Source organism: Homo sapiens, chromosome 13, assembly GCF_000001405.40.
Source record: "Homo sapiens chromosome 13, GRCh38.p14 Primary Assembly".
Lineage (NCBI taxonomy): Eukaryota > Metazoa > Chordata > Mammalia > Primates > Hominidae > Homo > Homo sapiens.
Window position 1 is genome coordinate 37,361,321 of NC_000013.11, and position 27,213 is coordinate 37,388,533.

Below are 27,213 nucleotides of genomic sequence, written 5' to 3' on the forward strand. Positions count from 1 at the left end.
AAATAAGTTGTTTACTGAATGCTAGCTTTTAAGTCCTTTGAGAATTTGGAGTAGAGGGAAAAACAGCACAGTCAGGAGGACAAAAGAAAAAAAAGTAAAACAAAATCATCTTCAGACAGATTTGGGAAAAGTTATCCTAGAATACTTTAAAAGCAGAAGGAAAGCATTGCAGAATAAAAGAACTCCTGGGGATGAAAAATACTAGAGCAGGAATAAAAATGTTAGTAAAGTTTGGAAGATATTAATGCAATTTCCTCATAACTAAACAAGTAAATAAAGAGATACAATATAAGCAAAAGGATAAAGGATACAAGAGGTAGACAGTCAAGCTCGAAGATCTGACATCTAGCTAATCTTAGTTTCGAAAGGATAGTGACTATGGAGAGAAGAAAAATAGCAACACAATGCCAGAAAATGTTCTATAACTGAAGTTATCAGTTTCTAGACTGAAAGGTTTGGCCAGGTATCCAGCACATAAATGAGAAATGAGTCACGCTAAGCCTCATCATTGCAAGAGTCCAGAATACCAAGAAGAAGACAACCCTAAAATCTTCCAAAGAGAACCAAAGCAGAGGATATACACAAAGGGACAGAGATCAGGATGACAGATTTTTCAAGGGCAACAATACTAACTGGTGGACAAAGGAGCAAATTGACCATGGAAATTAACTTTTCAACCTAGAATTATACATCCAGCCAAATTATACATCATACATTGCAGCTATAATAAGACAATTTGAGACATGGGAATTCTAAAAAATGTTATGTCTCTTAAAAGCACTCTTATCTCATGAAGTGAACAGTTGATCTGCTGCAACAGAAAGAGGGAGAAGCCATGAATGAGGATGACCTGGGGTCCAGAAAATAGAGTCCAGCAGGAGAGAAGAAATCTCCAGGATGTGGATAAAGAGAAATACCATTGGCCAGCTGAGCAGCAGGTATAGCTGACAACAGGCTGGAGCAGGTTAGGGAGTGCTCCTGGAGCCATGCAGCAAAGAAAGAGAAGTTGGAACCTTTTGATTAGGATGTTTGATTGTATTAAAGGAGCTTTTTTTTTTTTTACTAGTCCTTTAAAATAACGTGGGTAAGAATTAGTGTTAGGTGTTTAGAAAACAAGAAAAATGCAAAAATTGGCAATTCTAAGAGGAACAAAATTTTAGTACATGATGTGAATCAGTTGTGGATAAGATTTAAGTCCTATTAATGTGAGCTATGACCATTGCTTTGACATTTGTGATATTGAGAGGAGTGATATTGAGAGGGGGGTGGTAGAAGAGGAGTGAGAGAGCAAGTTTGTGGGAATACAAAACAGGTAAATCTCCATCCTTCATAGGAGGAAACTGATCAATAATGTTTGAAACTGTCAAGTCAAAAGTAGATATGTATGTCTGTCTTTAGAAATATAGAGACAGATACCAGAAGAAACAGCTAAAAGGAGTTGAAATTGGTTTCCTCTGGAGGAAGCCCTAAAAGGGTGGGTATGGTAGAAAGGACTCTTTTTTTTTTTCATTATAAGTTTTGTAGTACTATCTTTTAAAGCTAAGCACATGAATTCTTATTCTTATTCTTATTTTGAGACAAAGTCCACTCTCTTGCCCAGTCTAGAGTCCAGTGGCATGATCATAGCTCACTGCAGTCCTGGAACTCCTGGTTCAAGGGATCTTCCTGCCATTTGTGTGTGTATGTAGAAAAGGGGTCTCACTATGCTGCCCATGCTGGTATTCAACTCCTGGCCTCAAGCAGTTCTCCCGCCTCGGCCTCCTAAAGTGTTGGGATTACAGGCGTGAGCCATCTCACCGGGCACACATGAATTATCTTGATATTTAAAAAGGAAGTAAGAGAGGCTGAGGGAAACCTCTGTTTTCTTGTTCTAGTGGGTGTTCATTTCTGGTCATGAAGCCCTAGAACTTGTGTGGTGGTTGATTATTGGCTGGAATGAGTTTAGTGCTCAGCCAATTAAATGGAAGAAGGAGACCTGAAGTAAGTACACTCCCAGGTTAATTCCAGCTCCACCATCTTCCTTATGACCTTGTTCGTTGGACATTCAGGAACGCAGGACTCACTCCGGAAGCTACTGCCCATAAAGAGTCGTCAGCTGTCAGTCCCCAGTGGGGATGGTCATGGCTGAAGAGAGTGAACCTGGGACGTCTTGCCAAGTTGCTTCATTTTCCTGAGCCTCAGCTTCTCTCATTACTCTTTCACAGAGATGATAGGGAAATCCCACCTCAGACTCACATCCACAGAGAAGGGTGGTTGTCTGTGTGGAAATAAAGATGTACTGGAAAATATAAACTTGTTACCTACATGGCTAGCTTCATCCAGCTGTGGAAAGAGTAGTTAGACAGAGTTGGAAGACTTTCCTTGGAATAACACAGGCCTAACTACTTTGATTAGTTATTGGATATTATAAGGGGATAGGAGAGGAGAAGAAAGGAGCAAAAGGAAACTGATCTTGCTTCAACATCCTGGTGTTGACAGTGAGGGAACCATTAAACTCAACACATGAAAACTGTTTGAAATTACTAATTAAGAAAATAATGTCGTACTTTTATAAGCATGAAAGCTGACAAAATTACCACCATGAACTATAATCCGGAGTTTATCCCTAAAGTCCCTTCTAGGTTACATGCAGGAGCACATTCAATCAAATTGTCAAATTGCTGTTTTCTTCTGCAGATGGGATTTTCCAAAAGGAGCAGAAAGTCAGTAGGAGAAAAGTTGGAGCTGTACATCCTCAATGAGTTGCTACTTCTGTTATACACAGAAAATTAAAAGTTGAATGAAACCCGCAACTAAGAAATACCAAGTTCAACTAAATTAATAAAATGTGGTAAGTGGCTATGATTCATGTAGTTGAGCTTCACCATTGATCTGTAGGGAATAAAGAGGCAGCTGAGTTATCAAAATGAACAAAAGCAGTTGCTAAAGTTGGCAGTAAATGAGGGGCTGACAGGAATTTCCAGAGTTCAGACTTCTTGTAGTAGACACAGGAGTAAGCAGCCATAAGCCTCTTTTTTTTTTTTTTTTTGGAAATTAAAAGGAAAGTGAATCTATTTTTTTATCCTCAATTAGCAAGTGATTACCATATATCATGAACATGAATATAATTTTTTTAATTTTGTATTATAAAAATAAATTTGAATGAGGCAGACAAGCAAAAAAGATATCACTTCTAATCCAAGTATACAGGCATAATCACTATCAAAACTTAGTAGATGTCTTTTAAGAAACTATCAAAACTTAGTAGATGTCTTTTAAGAACTTTGTCCTACTTACTAACCAACTATTAGCAAGATACATGATGATACAATATTTATTAATTTTATCTATATGTTTTACGTTTCAATGTCAATTCCATTCTTTAATGATAAATTTAAACCATTGCAAATGTGATTCAGGCAACCAGAATATTATTGATAACTTACTTATGAGATTATTTGCCTGTTTGTGGTTATTTGCCTTATTAATGAGATTATTTGTTCTGTTCGAGGAATTTTTTTTTTTTTTTTTTGGATGGAACACTGTGTTAACCAAGCCTAGTGCAGGATTTCTTTTGAGTTATAGTACGGCTAAGAGCAAGTATAGCCTTTTTAGTCTACCATTCCAAATGTGAGAAATTTTCTGAAGCATCTATGATGTCGAACTTCTGTAAATTTGATACAAGTAGCTTACTATTTATCCAAATTATAAACCTGGTAGTCTCTGTTTCTTAGTGGAGTCAATTGGGTTAGAGTATTATTAATGTGAAAGTAAGTTTTCCATATGAATATATTATTAGGAATTTAGAAAATGTGTGTTTTCCAGATTCCCAACTTATGTTTTACTCTGAGTAGCTTGAGTGTGTTCTACAAACACCGCTTTCCTGAATACCAAGGGCTCTTGATTGACAATTATTTTTCTTTGAAATAAAGAGCAATAACTAGGACAATGTATTATGGAATGGAAAAAAAGCACTGATAAAAATTTCCTGCTCTTTATGCTTCCAGAGTTTTCCTTATGACCCACCTTTAGCTTTATCTGAGGGGTGATATAGACGGGGTAGCCTCTGTTTGTGTGTGTGTGTGGGCAGGGCAGGGGGCGGGTGGGTCGTTGTGGAGTGTAGCCAAATTAAAAAATAGCTCTTGAGTGATACTCTTTTCTGGTTTTCTACTTTTCACTTTCCCTTTTTAAATAGTAGGATTTTTGTTCATTAAAAATAAATTTTATTTTACCTTTTTTGCCTAAACTGCCTCTCTTCCTCTCTGTATCGATGAATCAGGATCACATGTGATCATCATTCATTCATTCATTTATTCAACAAATATTGTTTGAGGGCTGTGTATCAAGTGAGCCAATGTTCCTTTGAAAAAAAAAAAAAAGAAATACTGCCAAGTGGAAACACATCACTCTTTATGCCTACTCTCCTGGGAAAGACAAAACAAAGTGTTCATTTATGTAAAAAATAGACTATGTAAAACATTTCTTTATGTTCATAGTAGCAAGAACTAATTTGAATAAGTTCTTCTTAAATTAATGATATTCCAGGCTATAAAGCAGTAGGATGTAACACGTTAATGTCTTTCAGTCAATATTGCAATCAAATTTTTGTGTAGTACTGTTTATTAATATTTAATATATTAAAGACATGAATTTATTGTTTTTACTCAGTTCTTCAAGCATTAATTTTTTAAAAAGCTTGATCCCCGAGGATGTATTAGGATAACATGAAATTCCATACTCTACCAAAATGCTATATTGATTTCAGTTCATATATTAAAACATCTGTTCTAATTCTCAATGTTATTATACACCAAAAAATAATGAAGTGGCAAGTTATCTGAGAAATTTGTCAATCCACAGCACACATTTTCTTTGGATAGTTTTAGATTTCACAACATGAGAAAACAGGCCTAGAAGGAGCTGGAAAATATGTTAGTCAATGGATGATGGAGTATTGGATTTTGGCTCTGCTTAGATTTCAAATCCTAACGTAGAGAAAGGAAAAATAGAATGCATTACGCATAGAGGCATAATGTGAGATGTCAGTGACACTTATTTAATTTTACCTGAAATAACAAATTTGTTTTGAATGTCACTTAATGTCTTACAGCACTTTTCTCAGAAATGTGAATCACTGCTGGTCGAGTCCCTAATTTGAGGTCTCAGGTCTCAGCCTACCTGCAAGGAAGGCAGTAACTATGTGGTGTTAATAAAACTGTTTCCCCTCTGCTTGCCTCCTCTTAGTGCTGTGGGCTGAAGATGTATATTCTGGCATTCCTCCTTTCCTCGAATGTCCTGCCAAGGCATTTCTGCCTGAATACACTGAGACCAAGGATGGCATATTAGAAAAAAATTTCTTTTCCAAGCTAGATGAATCACTGCTTCTTCTCTGAATTTCAGCTCTCCGTGACTATGGTGGAGAAGCTGTTGACAAAGTGTTGTATGCAGGGGCCACCTTTGACTCTCTTATCCTTTTCTTTATCTCCACCTTATACTCATCTATAGTTCTATGAACTCTATCTTCCTCTCCCTATTGTTGGAAATTCTGATTCTGAATACTAAACCAGAATTAGACGTGGAAGTCTGGTAAAGATTATTACCTTTATTATTGCTAAAACTGGGTTGGAAAATGAAGCCTGAATTGATGGTCAAAATGAGGCTTCCCACTGCTTTACCCAGGTTTGAATCTCAGGATTCATCTGGGGAAACCATGGTACAGCCTACACTATGTAGCAGACAGCACAGGGAACAGAAACTCAACTTACACACCTGAGGAGAAATCCTGAAAACAGGGATCTCTAAGTAGACATGGGCCTGCTGACTTGCCTCTGAAAGGCAGTCCCTGGACTCTGACACGGGTTTGTTAGTGTGTGATGGACTCCAGTGGAGAAGGGCAATGACCCCTCCTTCATGCGGGTCTGTTCTCAAAGGCAACTAGAGGCAAAGCCTGCACAGTGGAGCCGTTTCCTTTCCCCTGTGCTGTCCATTGGGTCAATCAGTTCTCCTCCTGGGAGCAGAGTGAGCAGGTGGGTTGGTGAAGTGGTGGAGAGGAGGTCTGAAGCCACCTTCCATACTTTTTTGGTGGTGTTTGTATTTTATGTGTTGTTGATGGGAAATGTGGAGAGAAGGAAAAAGAAGTGCTTTTCCATGTTATTCTCCTCAATCATCAGCTTAATCAGGCCTTCGAGATATCTACATTGAATTGATGACTGTCTGACTGCACTTAAAATCCATTGGAATAAATGTTCTCTTAAAAAAAAGATTATGTCACCCCCTCAGTTAAAATTTCCCTATTGGTTTTCCATAGTTGTTTGGATGTAATCCAAAATCCATGCTGTCTTGCCATGGCATTCTAGCCTTTTTATACCCAAGTCCATGATCAACTACTCAGTCTGATTTGTCATTACACTCGCTGTCAACTTTTGCTCCAGGCTTATCGAACTCCTTGCAGTTTTCCAAGCATGTATGTCTTTGCCTACCCCGTTGCCTTCATTTTTGCTGCTCCCTTCCCGGGAAATACATTCTCTTGCTTTCTTTATCTGGATAGATTTCACTGAGCCTTCAGAACTCAGCTTAGGCATAATTAGCTCCTATTGGACACCTTCACTGAATTATTGAGGTGTGCCACCTCAAGTGAGGTGAGGTTTCTTCCAATGTTCCTTATAGTATTTCCTGCTTGCCTACTGTGATAGGGTCTTCTTATCTGCATATTCATATTGAATGTAGTCCCTAGCATATAATAAACCATTGATAACTATTGCCAGCATCTCTCACATTGCTTCCTTCCTTAAACAGAGCCATAGTTTCAATATTTGTTTTGCTCTCAAATGTGGATTACAATAACAATTGCCTAGATTTGTATAGAAATAGGCTTACCAGTTGTTTATTAAAATCTTGATAGCTTTGCGGATATTGGAAGAATGTTTTTCTCACTAAATAATATTTTTGTTTTTCTGTTATCATTCCTTCAAAATATAAATAAGATGATTTTAATAAACTTTTTCTAGTGTTTATAGTGATCAAATTGTAATAAAAATTACTGTACATCATTATTCAAATTCTCAGATATTCATTTTTAACAACTTATAAACCTTCATGAAGAGAGATTTTTACTCTGACCCAAGTGGTCTGGATGGTGTAATTGTGAAATGGATTTCTTACAAATTTAGTGACATGCTGCATCAAGCAGTAAAAATGACGGATGGATCATATGGGAAACAGAAAATATGTTATGTCATCCTGTTCTGAAAGGCATCCCGAAACCTTATCAAATAGATGTTCAATATTTTACACAAAAGAAAAGTTGCATGCCCCATGAGAGTTAAAGAGTTGAGAGCTAATTTGTTACGTACAGGTTGAAGTAGAAAGTGACTGCATGGTTAGCCTTTTAACCTATCTTTAAATCCACTGGGAAGAAAAGCCAAAATGATTTTGGGGATAAATTGACTTCTTGTTTATCTTTGTGCTCGAATTTGTCCAATCAAGTAAAAATATTTGCATGGTGTGCATTGTGATATGATTATCTGGGGACTGAAAAATGTGGTATGAATTATAAAGATTGGATCTCGAATTCTTAATAAAACCTTTACTGTTTCACAGTTTTTTCCTAACTTACAAAAAGCTTTTATATTTGTAAGAAGACAGTTTTATTCATTCAACCTTTAATAAATATATATTGAGCACCTTTTTTGTGGTATTTTTCTGTGCATAAGAAACTTCATACTCATTTAAAAATATTCTGCAGGCTTTTTTTTGGTAGTTTTAGAGTTTTTATTTGATTTGTTTTTAGTTTTATATGTAAATTTAAGGAAAAGTTGCTAGAACAGTAAAAGTACCCTGGATATTCTTTAATCTATGTTTGCCAATTGTTTACATTTATTTCATTTGCTTTATCATTTATATTTATATGTATTTGTAAAATTTATATGAATATATATAATTTAAATTTGTAATTATGAATTTATAAATTCATAAGTTATGTTTATAATATACATGTATAATTTATTTGTATTTTTAATATTTATATTTACACATATATTTATGTATGTGATCATAGTTTATTTTCCTAATCATTTTAGGATAAGCTGGAGATATGGTACCCTTTTACAATAATTCTTCTAGTATACTTGCTAAAATTAGAGGATTTTCTTACCTTACCATTGTATAATTATTGAAACCATGTGCTTTTTCATTGGTGCATTAGTATTATCTAGTACACAGCCCATATTTAAATTCTATCAGTTGTCCCAATAATTTCCTTTATAGCTATTTTTTTTCCCTGATCCGGGATCCACCTAATAGTAAATTAGTAATGAAGCAATTCAATCATGCATTGCCTTCGGTTTTTAGCCAGCTTTAAGCTAGAACAGTTTGTGAGTCGTTTTTGACCGTTTTGACTGGTATTTTTTAAAGATTATGGACTAGCTGTTTTGTAGTATGACCTTCAATTTGGATTTGTGGGACAGTTTTTCATGATTATATTAAAGCTATCCATTTTCAGCAGAAATACCACAGCAATGATTCGTGTCCTTCTGAGTGCATCATGTCAGGAATCATGTGATGTTGGCTTGGTCCAAAACTGCTTATCATTAAGGTTATGTCAGCCAGGTCTCTCCATTGTAAAATAATTTTCCTTTTGATTTAACAAGTAACTTGTGGGGAGATACACTGATAACATGTAAATGATGCTCCTTAAAATTTTCATTCACTGATTTTAGCATTCATGGATGTGTTTCTCCTTGTTACTTCTACATGTATTAGAGTAGCATTCCACTACTCAAAGGATGTTTTCTTCTCCTCCATTTATTTATTCATTGTTCCAGAATTTTTTCATTGTCTGGTAGGAGCCTCTTCACACTGTTCTCTGTGTCCTTTTGTTGTCTACACAACTTTTTGAGTACTTTCTTGTACTGTAAGTCAGATATTCTAGGCTCATTTATGCCCTCCTTGTCCCAGACCTAGAATCAGCCTTTTCTCTAGGGAGCCTCGATGCCGTTTAGTGTAAAATGGTATTTAGAAACTAAAATCTCCGTGCTAGGTATGGTTACTACTACTGGCCTGTCCTTGTTCCTAGGCTTTGTCAGCAAACAGAGGTAGGAAATGTGTGTGCGTGAATGTGGGTGTACATGCAGCTGTATCTATATTTATGTCTGTATCTATTCAGTAGAAACCATGCATTCATACTGATACCTCCAATTCCGATTCAGTGTCACAGGATATATTTTAAAACTTCTTCATTTTTATAGTTGTAAATCCCTTTGTGATGGTTAGTTTTATATGTCAACTTGGCCAGAGTATGGTAACCAGTTATATGGTCAACAGTCTAGATGTTGCTGTGAAGATATTTTAGGTGTGATTAACATTTAAATCAGTAGACTTTGAGTAAAGCAGATTACTCTGCATGTGGTGGGTGGGACTCATCTGACTGAGATCCCTCATGGAAAAGGGAATTCCACTTTCAGACTGCCTTTGTATTCTGGACTGCAGCATCAATGGTTCCCTGGGTCTCCAGCTTGCCAGCCTGCTCTGTAGATTTTAGACTTACCAGCCCCCATCATCATGTGAGCCAACTCCTTAAAATAAATCGCTCTATCTTTTTTCTGTATTCACGTCTACATCTATATCTTTATATCTATGTCTATGTCTATATCTATATCCATCTATTGTCTGTATATCTACATACATCTTATTGGTTCTGTTTATCTTGGGAGCCCTAATACACCCTTCTAGACTAGAATGCCTAGAAAATAGTTTCAGAATTGCTAACCCACACTACCGTGAAAAGCCAGTCTCCAAACAAGAGTTCAATATTTGTTTGCAACATTTTTTGAAGGTAAAATTATATACCAAAATTTTGTATGCACAAAATTCAGTGGAAAATACAACAAATTTAGGCAAATGCATTCATTGATGTGAAGCACACACATCTGCAAGATAGAGAGTAGTTTCATCATCTCAGAAAGTTGCCTGAAGCCCCTTCTGAGTCAATACCCTTGCCTTTCCTTTAATTATTGTTTTCCTGATTTTATTGGCCATGGATTAATTTTTCCTGTTCTGGAACTTCATCTATATGTACTCTACCATATTCAAATCCTTTAGCACAGCACAATGTCTGTAAGATTTATTCATGTTTTATTATAATAGTTCTGTTTTGTTGCTGAATAGTATTCCATTTGTGAATATATTATAATTTATTTGTTTTCCTGTTAATGGACATTTGAGTTTTTTTCATTTGGAGGCTATAATGAAGGAAACTTTGTAAATATTTGTGTACCAGTCTTTGTGTGAACAGATGTTTTTAAATTTCTGTTTAATAAATACCCAGAAATGAAGTGCTGAGTTGTAGTAGGGGTGAATATTTAACTTTACAGGAAACTGAGGAACACTTGTCCAAAGGGGTTGTACCATTTACATTCTCATCAGCAATGAATGAGAGTTCAAATTGTATCTGCATCATATGCATCACTTGATATTTTCAGTCTGTTTAATTTTAGTTATTCTAGTGGCTATAAATGGTATTTTATTGTAACTTTAGTTGTAATATTCTGATGATGAATTAATGATGTTGAGCACTTTTGTGAGCTTAATGACTATTGTACATCTTTCCTTGTAAAGTGTTCACATTTTTGCTCATTTAAAAAAAGTGAGTTGTCTTTTAAAACTTTGGATTCTAAGAATTCTTAACATATTCTGGATATGGGTCCATGATCAGATATATGTTTTGTGAATATTTTCTCCCAGTGGTGGTTGCTTGTTCATTTTCTTAACAATTTCCTTTGATGAGCAGATATTTAATTTTGATGAAGTCCAATATGTCAATATTTTCCTTTTTTCTTATTATTTTCTGTGTCTAATCTAGATCTTTTCCTACTGGTAGGTAGTAATGCTATTATCCTATCTTCTCTTCTAAAAGCTTTATGTTTTTGAATTTTCAGTTAGGTCTATGATCTATCTCAAATTGATTTTTATGTATGGTGTGAGTAAGAGTTGAGGGGTTTTTTTTTCCGTATGATATAGACTTCTTTATATTTCATCAGTTAGAAGATTTTCCTTTCTCCATTTAATTGCTTTAGTCCCTTTGTCAAAAATCAATTGGCTAAGTGTGGGTCTCTTTCTGGACTTTATTCTCCATTTGCCTATCCTTGTACCAATATCAAAGTATTTTCATTGCTATAGATTTGTAATAAGTCTCCAAGTGAGGACCCATAAGTCCTCCAGATTTGTTCTTTTACAAGATTGTTTTGGCTATGCATTTCCATATCAATTTTAGGAGCATCTTATCAAAGTATATTAAAAAATTATCTTGTGTTAGTATTGAGATTATATTAAATCTATAAATTAATTTAAGAAGAATTAACATCCTAACAATATTGTGTCTTTCAATCAATAAACATGTATATATTTCTCCTTTTATTTAGATCTTTAATTTCTTTCAGAAATAGTTTTTGTGGAGGTTTTGTGTGTATTTTGTTAAATTTATTCTCAAATATTTAATGTTTTTTTTACCATGTGTTAAAAAATTGTTTTAAATTTTATTTTCCAAACCTTTGCTGTTGGTATACAGGACTGTAATTATATTTTGTATGTTAACCTTGTATCTTACAATGTTATTAATTCACTTGTTAGTTTTAGCAGTTTCTGTTTTAACTCCTGAGAGTTTTATATCATCTTCAAATTGAGTCAGTTTTCTTTCTTTCATTCTGATCTCAATGCCTTCAAATTTGCTGCCATAATATTGCAAATAATACTCATTATATTTGTAATATCTATAGGAGCGCTGGGGAAAAACTCTCTTTCATTGTATTATTGGTAAGTTGTGTTTTCTCTTTTCTTCCTCATTAATCTTTCAAAGGTCTTAGATTCAAAGAGCTAACATTTAGCTTCGTGAATTTTCTCCATAGTTTGTTTCCTGTTTCACTGAGTCCTCCCTTATTTTCTTTCTGCTTAATTCAGGTTTAATTTGCTTATCGTTTTCTAATTTCTGTAGGGAGACACATAGATAATTGATTTTGAACCTCTCCTCTTTAGAAAATAAACAAATCTATCAGTTTTTTTCTAAACCCTGATTTAGTAGTATTCACAAGTTTACAAACACACACAATTTTTTAAATTGTCATTCAATTAAACATATTTTCTTATTCCATCTGTGATTTGTTTTTTATTTATGGGTTATTTATAAGTTGTTTTTTAAAATTCTAAATGGGGGATTCCCCAGGTGCGTGTGTACGTGTGTATATATTTTTAAAAAATTGACATAAAATATATGTATTTGTCATGTACAGCATGATGTTCTGAAATATGTACACATTTTGGAATGACTAAATCTAGCTAATTAACATATGCTTTACCTCATATAGTTATCACTTTTGTGGTGGGAATACCTAATATGCACTATCTTGGCATTTTTAAGAATACAATATATTGTTATTAACTATGGTCACCCTGTTGCATAACAGATATTTTGAACTTATTCCTCCTAACTAATTGAAATTTTGTGTCCTTTGACCAACCTCCCAAATCCCCTCCCCAAATGTTCCAGCCATTCTGTAAAAAATGGCAAGATTTCCTTCTTTTTATGGCTGAATAGTATTCCATTGTGAATATATATCACCTTTTCTTTATCAATTTATTCACTGATGGACACTTGGGTTGAGTCCATATGCTGGCTATTCTGAACAATGCTGCAATAACATGAAAATGCAGATGTCTCTTCACATACTATTTCATTTTCTGTGGACATCTTTTCATTCACAATTTCTGGTTAAATCTTGTGATAGAGAGCATGCTCTATAAATTTCAGTCTTTTAAAACTTATTAGGAATTACTTTGTAGCCAAACAGATTTCTAACTTGGTGAACATTCTATGTGTACTTGATAAAAATGTGCATTTTGTAGTTGTTGAATGAATAAAAAGGTTGTTAGGTAAAACTGATAGATTCAGATCTTTTATATTCTTATCTTTTTTGTCTCATTCAATAAATTACTAGGAGAGTATTTTTAAAGACTTCACCTATTATTGTGGATTTGTCTATTCTCTGACTTACAGCTTTTTTTGTATGACAGTTTAAATAAGTACCTTGTGAAAATGTACGGTAACTTTTAACATCTTTCATACAATAAAGACAGCAGACAGCAATTATAAGTATTAAACAGAAATAAAATACTCCATGGATATGCCATTTAAACTCACTATATTCATATCTCAAAGCTTTTTAGAACCTACTTTGTGCCAGGCCACATGGTAGATACAGATAAACATGTTTTCTATCCTGAGAGTCTCCTTCTCCAGATAGATACGTAAATGATGTAAACTCTTAAAAATATAATGCTATGTACTCTACAATACAGCAAGTCATAATTACAAAATATAAGACTTCTTTGTCAGTAAGTAAACTATCTTTGTTAAAATAAATCTCTATCTTAAAGTCTGAAATTATATTTAGACATTACATGTCTGGCATATTGAGAAATATTTTAGTGTTATAAAAATACTATTCGACTTGGTGTCAGTGCTGAGTTTGAGTTCAGACTCTATCACTGGTTGTTTAATCCTGGGCAATCGCCTGAGTCTCAGTTTTCTGAATTGTAAAATGAGACAAATATTAACATGCATATAAACTAGCTTTTAAGGTAAAGTAAGAGAAGAATATATAAAAGATTGCTATAAAGTGCTACCAAATGTAAGATATTGTTAATAAAACTAATGCAGGTTGCTTCGCGGTAGTTCCAATTCACAGCATTCATTTAACTCTTTTTACTTTGGCTTTAAAAAATAGACAATTGAATAATATACTCAGATAACATGTGTATGATATTAGAGTGATTAGAATTTGACCAAATTGGTGATGAATTTGGCAGTTTGTCTGCTGACAGCTGAGGCTTCTTGGGCTGGAAGAAACATTAGAAGTAGTACATTCCCTATCCCTCAGTATCAAACAATAAAACAGACACTCAGATCACTTGAGTGACTCACCCAAGTTTGCACAGTCAGGTGCTGTAAGGGCTAGGTAAGGCTGTGATCCAGACGTTTGAACTCCAAGACCAATAGAATTTTCAATACACAGTTCTGCATTTCTTGTTTGTCTGTAGAGTATCTTAATAATACTGTAACAAGAAGTCTGAAACTCTGGGTTCAAGAAAGTCTACTTTCCTATTAAATGTGTAATAAAAGGGATATAGATGAATTTGGAGAGCTGCTTGGAAATATATTAATGGAAATGGAATAATGAGAATTCTTACAATATTTTCCCATTTACCCATGAAATAAAATGGTAGTGATCTTGGTTGTTTTGAATAAGATTTCTAATTTAATTAGAAATGTGTAGATGAGGGATATTTAGAAAAATTTTATGACTTGACAGCTCAATTTGGGTATACACTATCATCACTTTATCTCAAATTTAATGAACCCGAAATTGAACCAATCTATCCTTCCAGAATAATTTTCATTCTCAACTCCCTATAGATACTATTATTTCAGCGTTTTAAGTTAGAAAACTTATGATTGATTTTTCTTTCTCCTTGAATCCTATTTTTAGTACCAAGACCTTTATTTATTTTTTTGTCTTTGCTGCTTCCTTTCAATTCTTGGGTGTATACTTTGAGTCATAGCATTTCATCATCTTACCTCTGGATTATTAGAGCATTATTTGTATTGGGCTCTCAGTATTCTCCTGTGAGATAAATCTCCCTAAAATACTGCTTTCATCACCTCTCTTAAAAACTCACGTTTCCCTAGCATCAATTATTTGGCTTTTGGGGCACTGCATCATCTGTGCCAGTCTTATCTGTTCGATACTATTCCTATGGTTTCCCCACACATACTCCCTATTTAACCTCTGTTTGCATCGTGGCTACCAGGTACAGTGGTGCCCTGCCCTTGGAACAATTTCTGACCACTGGCAGCATCCCATCCCTGGTGCCTTCTTCTCTGCCTGCGACTGTCTCCTAAATCTGTGAATTTGCTCAGCTGTATGCAGGTACAGCCCAGGGCAACCTGCAACCAATCGTCCAGGCTAGAAATTAGAGTCGTGTGCCCCAAGTTTCCCATCCTTGTAGTGGTGGGAGAATGGTTCTGAAGTGTTTTCCACATGGTATCTAAGCAGGCAGAACAATGGTCACCCAAAGATACCCACGTGCTAACCCGCAGACCTGTGACTAAGTTACCTGACAGATCAAAAGGGACTTTGATGACTGATGTGACTGAATTAAGAATTTTGAGATGGGGAGAATTATGTTGGTGGTCTCAATGTAATCACAGGGGGACTTATAAGAAAGAGATGTAATGATGGAAGTGGAGTGAGGCTGTTAAGGAAGGGGCAGCAAGTCAAGGAATGTGGGCAATCCCTAGAAGTTGGAAAAGGCCAAGAAACAGCTTTTCCCATAGAAGTTCCTGAAGGAACACAGCTTTGTTGATGCCTTGATTTTAGCTTTGTTGGACCCATTTTTGCACTTCTGACTTCCAAAACTATACGATAATAAATTTCTGTTGAATTACACTGCTAAGTTTGTAGTAACTTGTTATAGCAGCTATAGAAAGCTAATAGAATGTGTTAGATTCTCCAGGAAAATTGAGCTACAGTGCCCATAGCGGTTACCCAGTCATTGTCATACACTTGATTAGTTTCTGTCTCTTTTCTGTGTCATTTTCCCTCCTTCCCCACTTGTGCTTCCTGGAATTACATGGAAATAAGTTGTCCTCCCCCCAGGTCGGCTTGAGGGATAATCCAAACTAAGATACCGTCATCATTTCTGTTCCTGCTTTGCCAACTTTTCCTCCCTGCTCAGAAATTTCTTCTTCCTCCTCATTCCTTCCAGTTCCATTTTCTTCAAGGCCAAGCTTAAGAGCCATTTCCCTCTCTATGAGGCTTCTCTCCTACGCCAGCCCCCAAGGTTCTCTCTTGATTTTCTCACCTTCCTTTTCTCCTGTCATGAGTAAGTATATCCTTATCCCTTGAGTGTTTTCCTTGCTCTTTCTATTTACCTAACCAGTCCACATTCCAGATGCTGAAAGTCTTGTTTCTTGTGAGATGGACCATATTGGAGAAGTGAGGCTACTTGAACTGAATAACTGGTCACCCTCGGTCAGACTCAAAGGTAAATGTCTATTGAGGGAGCTCCTTTCCCAAATCCCTGCCTATAGGGAGTGTATATATTTGAGTGCCTATGTTGGAACACAGATAATAAGAAAATGAATAAAATGAATAAGTAAAATATATAGCCTGTTAGATAGTAATAATGGCCAAAGAGAAAAACAAAGCTGGAGAAGGATACAGATTAGCTATGTGGTAGTTTTAGATAGTGGATCAAGGGGACACCTGACTTCACTGAGGAAGGTAAGGACTCAAAGGTGAGGAAGCAGACTGACAGAGTTTCTTGGAGAAGAATGTTTAAGGCAAAGAGAATAGTGGTGAAAAGGGCCTAGGCTGAAGCATGCCTAGGTGTATTCAAGAAACAGTGAGAAGCACCATGCAGCTGTAGTAGGGTAAGCAAGGGAAAACTAGTAGGTCATAAGATCCAAATCCACATAGGTGAAATTCACTTCTCACTTTGCCCAAATTTCCAACTAATGTGTATTGTTCTGATGTAGTTATCAATGGTGCTCCTTTTTTATTCTACTCTTAGGCCATTGTAGGGCATAACTTTTCTGCTGAGCATGATGGAAAGTCATTGGGGGTTGTGGAATTGGGGGGGTTCTAAGGAGATAAATGACACAATCTGATTAACATTTTAATTAGACCAATGTGGCTGCTGTATTGAGAAGAAGATCAAGGGCAACTTCTAGTTTTTAGGGAAATAGGCAGTAAGATTATCAGTTCAGTGTGTGGATAGGTGACAAGATGTTGGAGATTGAGAAGAAAGGAGAGAGATGGCTAGAAATTGAGATATGGTAGGTCTGCAAACATTGGTAATGACAAGTTTGAGGCTATGGCCATGTGAGTGAGTGGTTGAAGTGGAGTAGAGGAGAAGGCCATTGGTGGAGAAGGTGGTCAAGGCACTGAGAGCCAGAGTGTTGGAAACACATCTATAGCCACACAAATAAAATTAGAATCACATTTGAAGATCTGTATAGTAAAAGTTATGGCCATCAATAATAAGCACTCCACATGGAATGTAATTTCAAATATGATTTTCCGATGTGTTTTTCAAATGCTATCTGCAGATAAATAGAAAAGTATTAAAGAGTTTTGAGTTATAAATGAGTGGTCAAGGGAGGCAGTGTAGTGCAATATCAATTTGTATGTCAGCATGATAGATTCACTTAATAAAATATTTCTTCCATAATTAAAATTCAGCTGTACTGGTTCATTGTAGTTCTCATGTTTTAAAAAATTTCTGGCAGCAAAAACAAAAGGGGGATTGGATTTAGTTTTCCAGGGTAATTGCACGCTATGATTTCATTTCCAGGCAGACTGTTCTGACAACTTGGAAAAATAAGTGGAGCATTACATGTGGTGGGACCTGGGAAATCATGATCATGTTAAGGATCAACATTATCTTTTACTATTTATTGAATTGCCATGTGCAGGGTTTATGTTATTGTAAACAACCTTATGAAGTAGGTATGTTTATTGTCGTTTTTAGTGACATGTCAAATTTCAGAGTGTTTAAGTAACTTGCCCACAGTCCTCCACCACTCTTGGTGTCTTGCTCCTGCAACTGGCAGTGGTGGCATTGGAGGCCATCGCCTTTTGTTTTGAAAACATAGTGGAAGAGATGTGAAGAAATGTTCCCCAGGGCCTTAAGACTGTTAGTCTCAGAGTAGATGTTTAAGGATATGGGTTGCAGTGTGTCTGGCTAGGCGCCTATTCTACTGATAAAAGCTCCAGGTGCTTTTTAACATAGTTTCTATGTGCATGCATGCACATGTGTGTGCTTGTAGATGTGTGTGTTTGTGATATGTGGAAACTTCCAAAATGAGCACCCTACCAGATGTCCTTGTGGCCTGGGTTTAAGGGAAGCACTTTAGGAAATATGTATGGAGAGGGACAGAGGACCAGAGCATGTTGTAATCATATCCAAATTTTTGGTTTTCATCATAAAATCAATAAGAAGCCATTGGCATTTATTATTATGGACTCTTGCATTATTGTGGAGAAGAGACAAGGGGGAATAAAAGTGATTTGTGGGGAAACTAACCAGTGGGCAATTTCAAGAGAAAATGGTGACTTGGACCAGAACAAAGGGATGGGGATGCAGAAGAGTCTATTGATACAATACTTACGAGGCAAATAGACAGCCTCACTGACAGACTATATGATAAGGGGAGAGGGGTAGTCCAGAATGACCTTTAGGCATGTGGCTCATGTAACTGGATGGACGGGGGTACTATTTCTGAGATGAGAAAAACTGGAAGAGGAACAGGCTACTGTTCAGGTTAGGGGTGTGTTAAACTTTGGAGGAGATTATAACTTCAACTTTTGAACTGTTGATTTTGAGATGTTTTTGAGAAAATTAAATGGAGATGCCAAGTAGACAATTGATTATAAGGGACTGAATATCAAATGAGAGGCATCAGTGGAGAACATAAATGAAATGTGAGCCATCCATGTGTATGTATGCGGTAATTGAAGTCATGGACTTCGATGAGCTTGCTGAAGGAGGAGACACAGAGATCAAAGAAAACTCTAAGTCTTCAAGAGTACCAGTATCCCAAATATCTCAAGGCTAAGCACTTCTCACTATCTTCAATGCCACACATTCCATTCTCAGTCGCCATCAGCTCTCATCTGGCTTACTGCATCACCCTTCTTATTGGTCTGTAAGTGGCAGTGGGGAAAGAGTAGGATACAAACTGTCTTAGTCAGCTCTAGCTACTATAGCAAAAAAACCCATAGACTGGGTGGCTTAAACAATAGAAATTTAATCCTTACAGTTCTGAAGGCTGAGAAGCCCAATATCAAGGTGCTGGTGACTTAAGTTCCTGGCGAGGTTTCTCTTCCTGGTTACAGACACACACCTTGCTGTATCCTCACATGTTGAAGAGAGACACCACCTCTCTCCTGTCCCTTCTTATAAGGGCACGAATTCCATTTATAAGTGTTCCACCCTTATGACCCAATTACCTTCTAAAGGCTACATCTCCAACTACCATCATCTTGGGGTTTAGAGTTCAACATATGAATTTTGGGCAGGACACAACCTTCAGTCCACAGCACCAACATTCCTCTGCATGCTGAGGTACTTAGTGTGAGCACTCACTTATAAGGCTTGCAGGGGAAATGAGTATCATCAGACAAGTTAAGGATATGAGGGACAGGGGGAAGCTAAGAAAAGATACAGAGAATTCCAAAAAAAATTCTGATTTTACAAAGGCGGTTCCAGAGGGCCTAGTGCCAGGGTTTGGGATGTGGGGCAGATGTGATTTGAAGTTTTGATATAACCAGTAAAAGCAAGAATGAAAAGCCTGGTGACAGCATTATCAGTCTCTTTGAGGGGGGAGACTGGGCTTAGTGCCCAGACACCATTTTTCCAATAGAAAGTTTGACTGTGGTTCTTCAAGATTCTATACATTGGTGTCCCAAAATTATCAAACACTTACTGAGTAACTTTTCTGTTAGTGGTTATTAAACTTCAGTGTCCATAAGAAATACTTGGAGAACTTATTAAAAGTGCAGGTTTCTGTGATCTACTCAAAAGTTTCTGTTTTAAGATATAAGAGGTGAGGCCTACAAATTTGCACTTGAACTCCCTGTGTGATAGGGGCAGGTGGTTTTCATTGTCCTGGGAGGCAGGCACTGTGCTAGGTCCTCTGGTGTCAGCCATGTAAATAAGAAATATTCCTCACTCTCGAAGGATTTACATTATTTCAACATGATGTGGTAACAAAATCTTTCTAGTTTTTCATGAGGCCCCAAGCAGAATATTTATTTTAAATAAAATATAATTAAGATGGACTATACATATTGAAAATGCTTTTTTTTTTTTTTTTTTGCACCTGTGTAAACTTTTCTACCAGACTTTTATTTTAAATGAGTCTATCATTTTTGGTTGTTATGGTAGTACGTGGATGTGGGATTATATCACCATCTGACATTTGGAGTTTTGAATGTTAGTACTAAATGTGTTTGGCATTCAATTTTGGGTGGCTGTTCCATTATTGTGTCTTTTGGAAAAGAGTAATTTGTGATCCGTATTTGCTTTCTGGTAGCTTTCTAATTCATTATTATCTGAAATTTTCAAATGTTTTGAAAAGTCTAATTCAGACCTATGTCACAAAGACAGATGACACAAAGTAGTTTAACAATTGTATATTTGACTTTCTTCTCCAATATATTGATTAGTTACTTTACCTCCTAGTTACTTGACCTCCTGAAATCTAGGTCATGCTTATTCTGAAGAAATGTCTGCATAAGTTGGTGAAGGACATATTTTTTTTCTGTCATGACTCACCCAGATTGGAAGATGACCGAATGAAAAATTTCAGACTAAATGTGGCTTTAAGTGTTATTTATTTAAAATTCCTTGGGGGAAAATCTCCATTACATAGAAATGATTTTCTTGTCATCAAAAAACCAATTTCCTTACTAGGAAGAAAAATATCTAAAAATATCTATTTCTAGCTCTGGAGAACTTTTCATTCAAGTGTCTCATAGGAGGACCCAGTAAACTGATGCAAGTCGGACAAACTGGAGGTTGGTTGGGGAGCAAGGGTGGGTGATGGAGAAGAATGTCCAAACATCTGGATAAATGTATATGGGCAATGAGAGAACCTGTAAATGTTAATAATTCTACCAGTTTAATAGAGGAGAGTCAACACTACTTAATGTGTAATGATTCTGATCAGCAAAGCAGCAAGTTAATAACACAGTGTCTTAAATTTCAGGAAGCAAGAAGTTTAAATTATTCTTTAAGTTGCCTGTATCAATGCCCACAAATTGCAGCTATACAGTACTTCTTCCTCCTTTAGATGTGTAAAGTTTAGATGTGTAACTCACAAACTATTCAAACCTTATAGAAAACAAAATCAGGGAAGTAGCCACATTTTTTTCCATCTGGGAATGTTAGCATTCTCAGAGTCTGTGAGGCTTACCCGTGGTTTTGCCAGGGCTACATTTTTGACAAATACTAAACCACTATTCTCAAATGTCAGCATTTATTTTTGATGCAAATCTTTGTGTACCATACAGACTGTTTGTGGATGGTGAAAAACCCTTTAAGCTTTTTGATTTCTCTTTCCAAACTTTTGATGTCCCTTTGGGTATTTGGTGGCGTGGTTTACTGTCCTTGAAAGGGAGTTCAGTGGTTTGGGACTGCAACTAAAGCAAGAATAGCAGAGTTTGATATCAATCTGAGTTCTAGGACTGTGAATAAACTGTCTTTATCTTATCCAAACATTGAATATATGGTAATTTTATGAAAGCGGAGGAAACCAGAAGCCACATCAATCTCTGAACCTCATGAATATATCAGATAAAATTTTAGATATGATCTTTTTGAGAAAAGTACTTATTTTAACTGGACACTTTTTTGCATAACGTATTTTTTAAAAAACATATTTGCTATATTTTCAGAACATTTTTCCATGTATTTTTACAAATGTTCTACTGAAGAACCTGAATATATATCACACATGTTCCCATTTTGTGATGGGAAGGCTCTTAATGGGTTTGAAAGTCAAGACCAGTGGACACAATTGTGAAACCATGCTTTGGGTCAGACGAATGCAGGCTTACTTATGAAACTTGTGTTTTTGCTGAAAGATTTGTTTACCAGAACTTACTATAGTTTTGTTTACTGAGTTAAATAATTTCTGGGTAGTCCAACCTGATACTCTTCAAGATTTTAAACTTACAGAGAGCTCCCAGGGGAAGTCGTAGAATCCCCTTGTCTCCCTAATTAGAATCAAGTGCTCCATCTTGCCTGAGTTTTGTTTTGTGATTAGTGGAATCTTAGAAATGTTATGACAGAGGCAGTGTATCTATGGTATAAGGGCTTTAGAATGAGGCAGCCTAAGACTGAATCTCAGTTCAGGCTTTTACAAGCTGTGTCACTGTGGGCAAGTTATTTGATCTTATTGAGCTTAAATTTGCTCCACTGCAAAATGTAGATAATGACATTTCTTTTATTTTTTCTTCCTCCCCTCAGGGTTTTCGTGAGAATTGAGATATTGCATGGAAAGCATGTAGTGACTGGTGCATGTTAATTCAGTAAATGATTATAATGATTATTTAAATTAATGTTAACACTGTAAACTGACAGTTTTCACGTGTGTGGGAACCATTGATCATTTCATTTCCCTATCTTCCAAGATATAAAATTGGTTTAGAGTGGTAACAGTAGTCAATGGCTTGCAAATAAAAGGTGACACATATGTCATATAAGGTATACACATATACTATTATACTTTTTTTTCATATTTTTGGATTTACAACAAATAGCTAGATTGAAGCTTTTATTTATAAATTTCTAATATTGAGGCTTCTGAAAAGCCAGAACTTAGTAAGTAGTATACCTCATTTTCTCTGTCAGTATAGCAGCTAAAAATGTAAAGAAATTATCTGAAGGCTTAAATGAATAATTATCTTTTCAAGCTATTAAGCTTATTGACTTAACAGATGCAATTTAAAGAGGTAAAGAGAAGAACAGTGAAGTAATTACTTTTGAAAACAGAGAATCAGCTTAGCTTGTTCAAGTTCCCAAATTGCCTTAGTAGCTCTAAAGAAACAAAGAATACTGTATGCCCTGCAAATCAGGAAAGCCCTTGTTATCCCCACTTTACTTTCTTTATGTTGAAGAGCCTTTATTAAACAACTAAGTTGTTGTTTAAGATTTGAATGAATCAGAGACTCTTAGAAAGCAGAGGTTGTGTCCACGCAACATGGACTGCTACCTCCCACTAAGTGCCTGACATTTGATGTTGGTTGAATGAATTATAAAGCGGGGTCTGGATTTTCTTGAAAAATGAATTAAAGCACTAGTGATTGAGATAACTTGGGGCAAACAGAGATTAGGATGAGTACTTTCCATCTGTCTGGCTTGTGTCAGGGCCAATCTCTCCAGCTTTTCTCAAGAAATTGGAATATTAAATCTGTGATGAATAAATGGTTGCAAAATCTTTGTATTATGGTAGATGGTACTTATTTATACAAACTGTTGTGCTGCTTGAAACATCTGTACTTTTGGGTGTAATTCATAATTCTTTCAAAAATCCAAATTCTTTGTTTGGATTGTAATAAAAGGAAAATTATTTCCTTGACGTAGTTACAGTTAATATTTTGGGTATGTCAGAGACATTTGAACCAGAGCAACTCCATCTTGAATAGGGGCTGGGACTTTCTTCAGCCTTAAAATAAGGCTGAGAACTGCTGAGCTGCATTCCTATTAAATTAGGCATTCTAAGTCAGAAGATGAGAAAGGAGGTTGGTGCAAGATACAGGTCATAAAGATCTTGCTGATAAAACAGTGTGCAATAAAGAAGCCCGCCAACACCCACCAAAACCAAGATGGCAATGAAACTAACCTTTGGTTGTTCTCACTGCTCATTACAGGCTAATTATAATGCTAAGAGACACTCTCACTGGTGCCATGACAGTTTACAGGTGCCATGGCAATGTCAGGAAATTACCCAATATGGTCTAAAAAGGGGAGGAACCCTCAGTTCCGGGAACTGGCTACCCCTTTTCCAGAAAACTCAGTAATAATCCACCCCTTGTTTAGCGTATAATAAAGAAAGAACCATAAGAATTGACAACCATCAGCCCTTGGGGCTGCTCTGTCTATGGAGTAGCCATTCTTCATTCCCTTACTTTCCTAATAAACTTGCTTTCACTTATCAACATGGACTTTCCCAAATTCTTTCTTGTGCAAGATCCAAGAACTCTCTCTTGGGGTCTGGACCTGGACTGCTTTTTGGTAACAGGTAGCTCTGACTTGCTTAGGCTGAATTTTTGTTCTTTCTTGAAACTATGAAAGGAAAAGTAAATCTTGGGACCCCCCAAATCACTAAGCCAAGAGAAAAGTGAATCTGGGCACTATGTCAGGCAAACCTGCCCCTCATTTCATTCCTAAATAAGAGAGCTACAAGGTAAGATACGTACCTCCTTCACAATTTGCCCACAGAAAATTCCTTGTGGACAAAGAACAGGCAGAACTCAAAGTCATCCCTCTGAGGCTCACCTGAGACAAAGGTTATCTAATTGCTTCCTTTGACCTATTGTTTACGTAAAAATGCAGGTTCGCTGAGCCAGACTAAATTGTGTATTCAGCGGAAGGCTGATCAAGGACTCAAAAGAATGAAACCTTTTTGTCTCTTATCTACATCTAACCTGGAAGCCTCCACTTCTAGTTGTCTCACCTTACCAGACTGAACCAATGTATATCTTACCCATATTGATTGATGTCTCACATCTCTCTAAAATGTATAAAAGCAAATTGTACTCCCAATCACCTTGAGCACATGTCATCAGGCCTTCCTGAGGCTGTTTCATGGATGCATCTTTAACTTTGGCAAAATAAACTTTCTAAATCGACTGATACATGTCTCAGATATTTTGGGTTAAAACCAAGAAATATGTATTTTTATAATTATAATTATTAGCTAGTATCTTGCTTGGTGCAGATACTGGAAGCCTGCTCTGTTAGACAAATGATAAATCCAGCATTCTGAATTTACAAGTCTTTGGGACAGATACAGAAAATTCTTATTTTCTGTCTCAAAGAAATGTTCAGATCTCTGAAAATCTTCACTTCTCCTATTTACCTGCCTGTACTTCATCCAGACCGAAGACAATAGAATGATGCTTTCATTTTACTTCTCCTCCCTCTTCCCTCATACTCAGTAGCTTGACCCTGCTGAGAGATGATGCATCTTATTCCTGTGGTTCCTTTCCACTCCACAATGTGAAAAGTGTCTCATCACCTCAAGCAGTCTCCTCCTGCCAATCTTGTCTCCACTTTGTGCCCATGGCCAGCAAGCACCCATGTACACCCATCTCTGCTCAGGGATTCTGGGGACTTCCTATTTCCTGAAGAAAACTTTCAAATTTCCAACTCACTAATGTTATTATGGTGCCTACCTTCTCCTTTAACCAATTCTTACCCAGCTTCCTGTTCCCACCAAAGTGGCCACCCTTGTGCCCATTCCTGCTGTGAGGCTTTGCTCCTGGGACACCATTCCTCCCTACCCCCACCGCCCTGATGCTGACATCCTTCCAGCATTTGTGATTCATTTCCAAGTTAGCTTTTCCAAGAAATCTTCCCAGACTTCTTCAGCCTGGTATCATTCAGATTTCTTGAATTCCTTCTTTTCTAAATACCAGAAACTTTAGTGTCTCTGCTCTTCAACTGGTAACTAGTGTTTGAGGTAGCAGAGAGAGAACAAATATCAATTAAGCATCTACAATGAAACATTGTTCTGGACACTTATTGTCACAACCTGTGGAAACATAGGCTCAAGAGGCCACGTTATTTTCATATGGGTATAAGAGCTGTTGATTCAAGGTTTAAATTCAAGTCCATCTGATACCAAAGTTCATGTTCTTTTTATATAGCACCTTAGCCAATCACTACAAAATGACAAATGGAGAACAAGAGCTGTGTCTTTGATTTGAAATTTCCGTTCAACATTCATTTAGCCAACACGTATTTTATGAACAATTGTTATGTGATAGACATGGTTGTACATGCTTTGGGAGGACTCAAATAATAATGATGATAGCAATGAAAATGATAGTGGTAGCAGTAGTTAACAATTATGTAGCAGTTTGTGTGTGGCAGACACTGTTCTAAGTGATTTACATGTTTTATCTAATTTCTTCTTTATAACGACACTGTGAGAAGGCTCTAGAATGATCCTCTTTATACCTGAGGAAACTGAGGCACATGAGGAACCTGCATGAGATCACAAAGCTAGTAATGGCACACTGGATTGGAACCCAGGGGTCTGGAGCCTAACCACAGTGCTGCACTGTTCCTCAGATAAGACCCCATCCCTGTCCTCAAGGTGATAAACCGAATATGCTGGACAAGTTTGGTTCTTAATTCTATCCATGAATACCTAGGACAATCAGTAATATGGGTGAATATTTTATTACTTATTCTATAAAGTTTTAATTTATAATTTTCTTCCCTCTGCTGTGTATTTTAAATAAATGATAATTTGAAACAGGTGCCTTTTCTCTCAACCTAGAAAAGGCCAAGCTCTGATCTGAATTTCAGATGCCAACTTTCTCTAGGACATCATTGTCCCATGGCCCTAGCTAGGCTTGAGTAACCATTTATTCATTGGTTAACATCAACTTCCCTCAAGCTGGCAAAACCAACAAATGATATCAGAAGCAAGCAATTTTGTCATCTAATTTAGATTAGATCTGTGATGTTAAGGAAGACCTTTTTGAGATTATATATATTATATATATATATAATGCAAATTATCTGCTTGTATTATCTGATACCAATAAAAACAGATGTTGAGTAGATAAGGACTTGGTAAAGCATTGTAAAATAATGGATAGCACTATTTAGCAAAGTTTTCAGAACATATATACCTGGTGAGTTCTTTCTTTCATGGATTAAAAGCTATTGTTAAAAGAAGAACAGAAAGATTCCATCATGGCTTGGGGGAAGGCTGCCCACATGTGGATAACACAGCGGCCAGTGTGTGGACTTTCATGGTGTTGCTGGCTTCACCCAGATATTGTAAAAATGTGTAAAAGGTATTCTTATCTCTCCCAGTGGCTTCCTAACCCCTTTCCCACTTCAAACAGCATTGGTACCTATTTGGAGTCTCCAAGTTAAATGTTTGGATGTGTCTTTTTTGGTGCTCATCCATATGATAATAAGAAATTCCAGGAGAAAATGAAAATTTTTGTGAGCGCATTGTTTTGTATTAGGAGGCCATTTTATTGTCTCTGTTCTAGAGTTCTGGAAATGTTTCGACCCAGGATAGCCTGGCCGGGATTTGGTCAGATTTGGGCAGTTGGACACCATCTAGCATAGCCTTCCCATCCTTTTTTTGTTGTTTTTGAGACGGAATCTTTCTTGTCAGCCAAGCTGGAGTGCAGTGACACGATCTTGGCTCACTGCAACCTCTGCCTCCTGGGTTCAAGCCATTCTCTTGCCTCGGCCTCCCCAGTAGCTGAGATCACAGGTGCGCACCACCATGTCCAGCTAATTTTTGTATTTTTAGTGGAGACAGGGTTTCACCATGTTGGCCAGGGTAGTCTCGAACTCCTGACCTCATGATCCACCTGCCTCGGCCTCCCAAAGTACTGGGATTACAGGTGTGAGCCACTG

General features: G+C 36.5%; 1 long non-coding RNA gene across 1 annotated transcript in view; it reads left to right on the forward strand.

The window, feature by feature from the left end:
* Nucleotides 1–849: 849 nt before the first annotated feature.
* The window catches only part of LOC124903159 (uncharacterized), a 128,664-nt gene continuing 102,300 nt past the window's right edge, over nucleotides 850–27,213 (forward strand). Inside the window, exons 1-2 of the long non-coding RNA XR_007063761.1 lie at nucleotides 850–938; nucleotides 2,677–2,830. This is a non-coding gene — a long non-coding RNA (uncharacterized LOC124903159). The remainder of the gene's footprint in view (nucleotides 939–2,676; nucleotides 2,831–27,213) is intronic.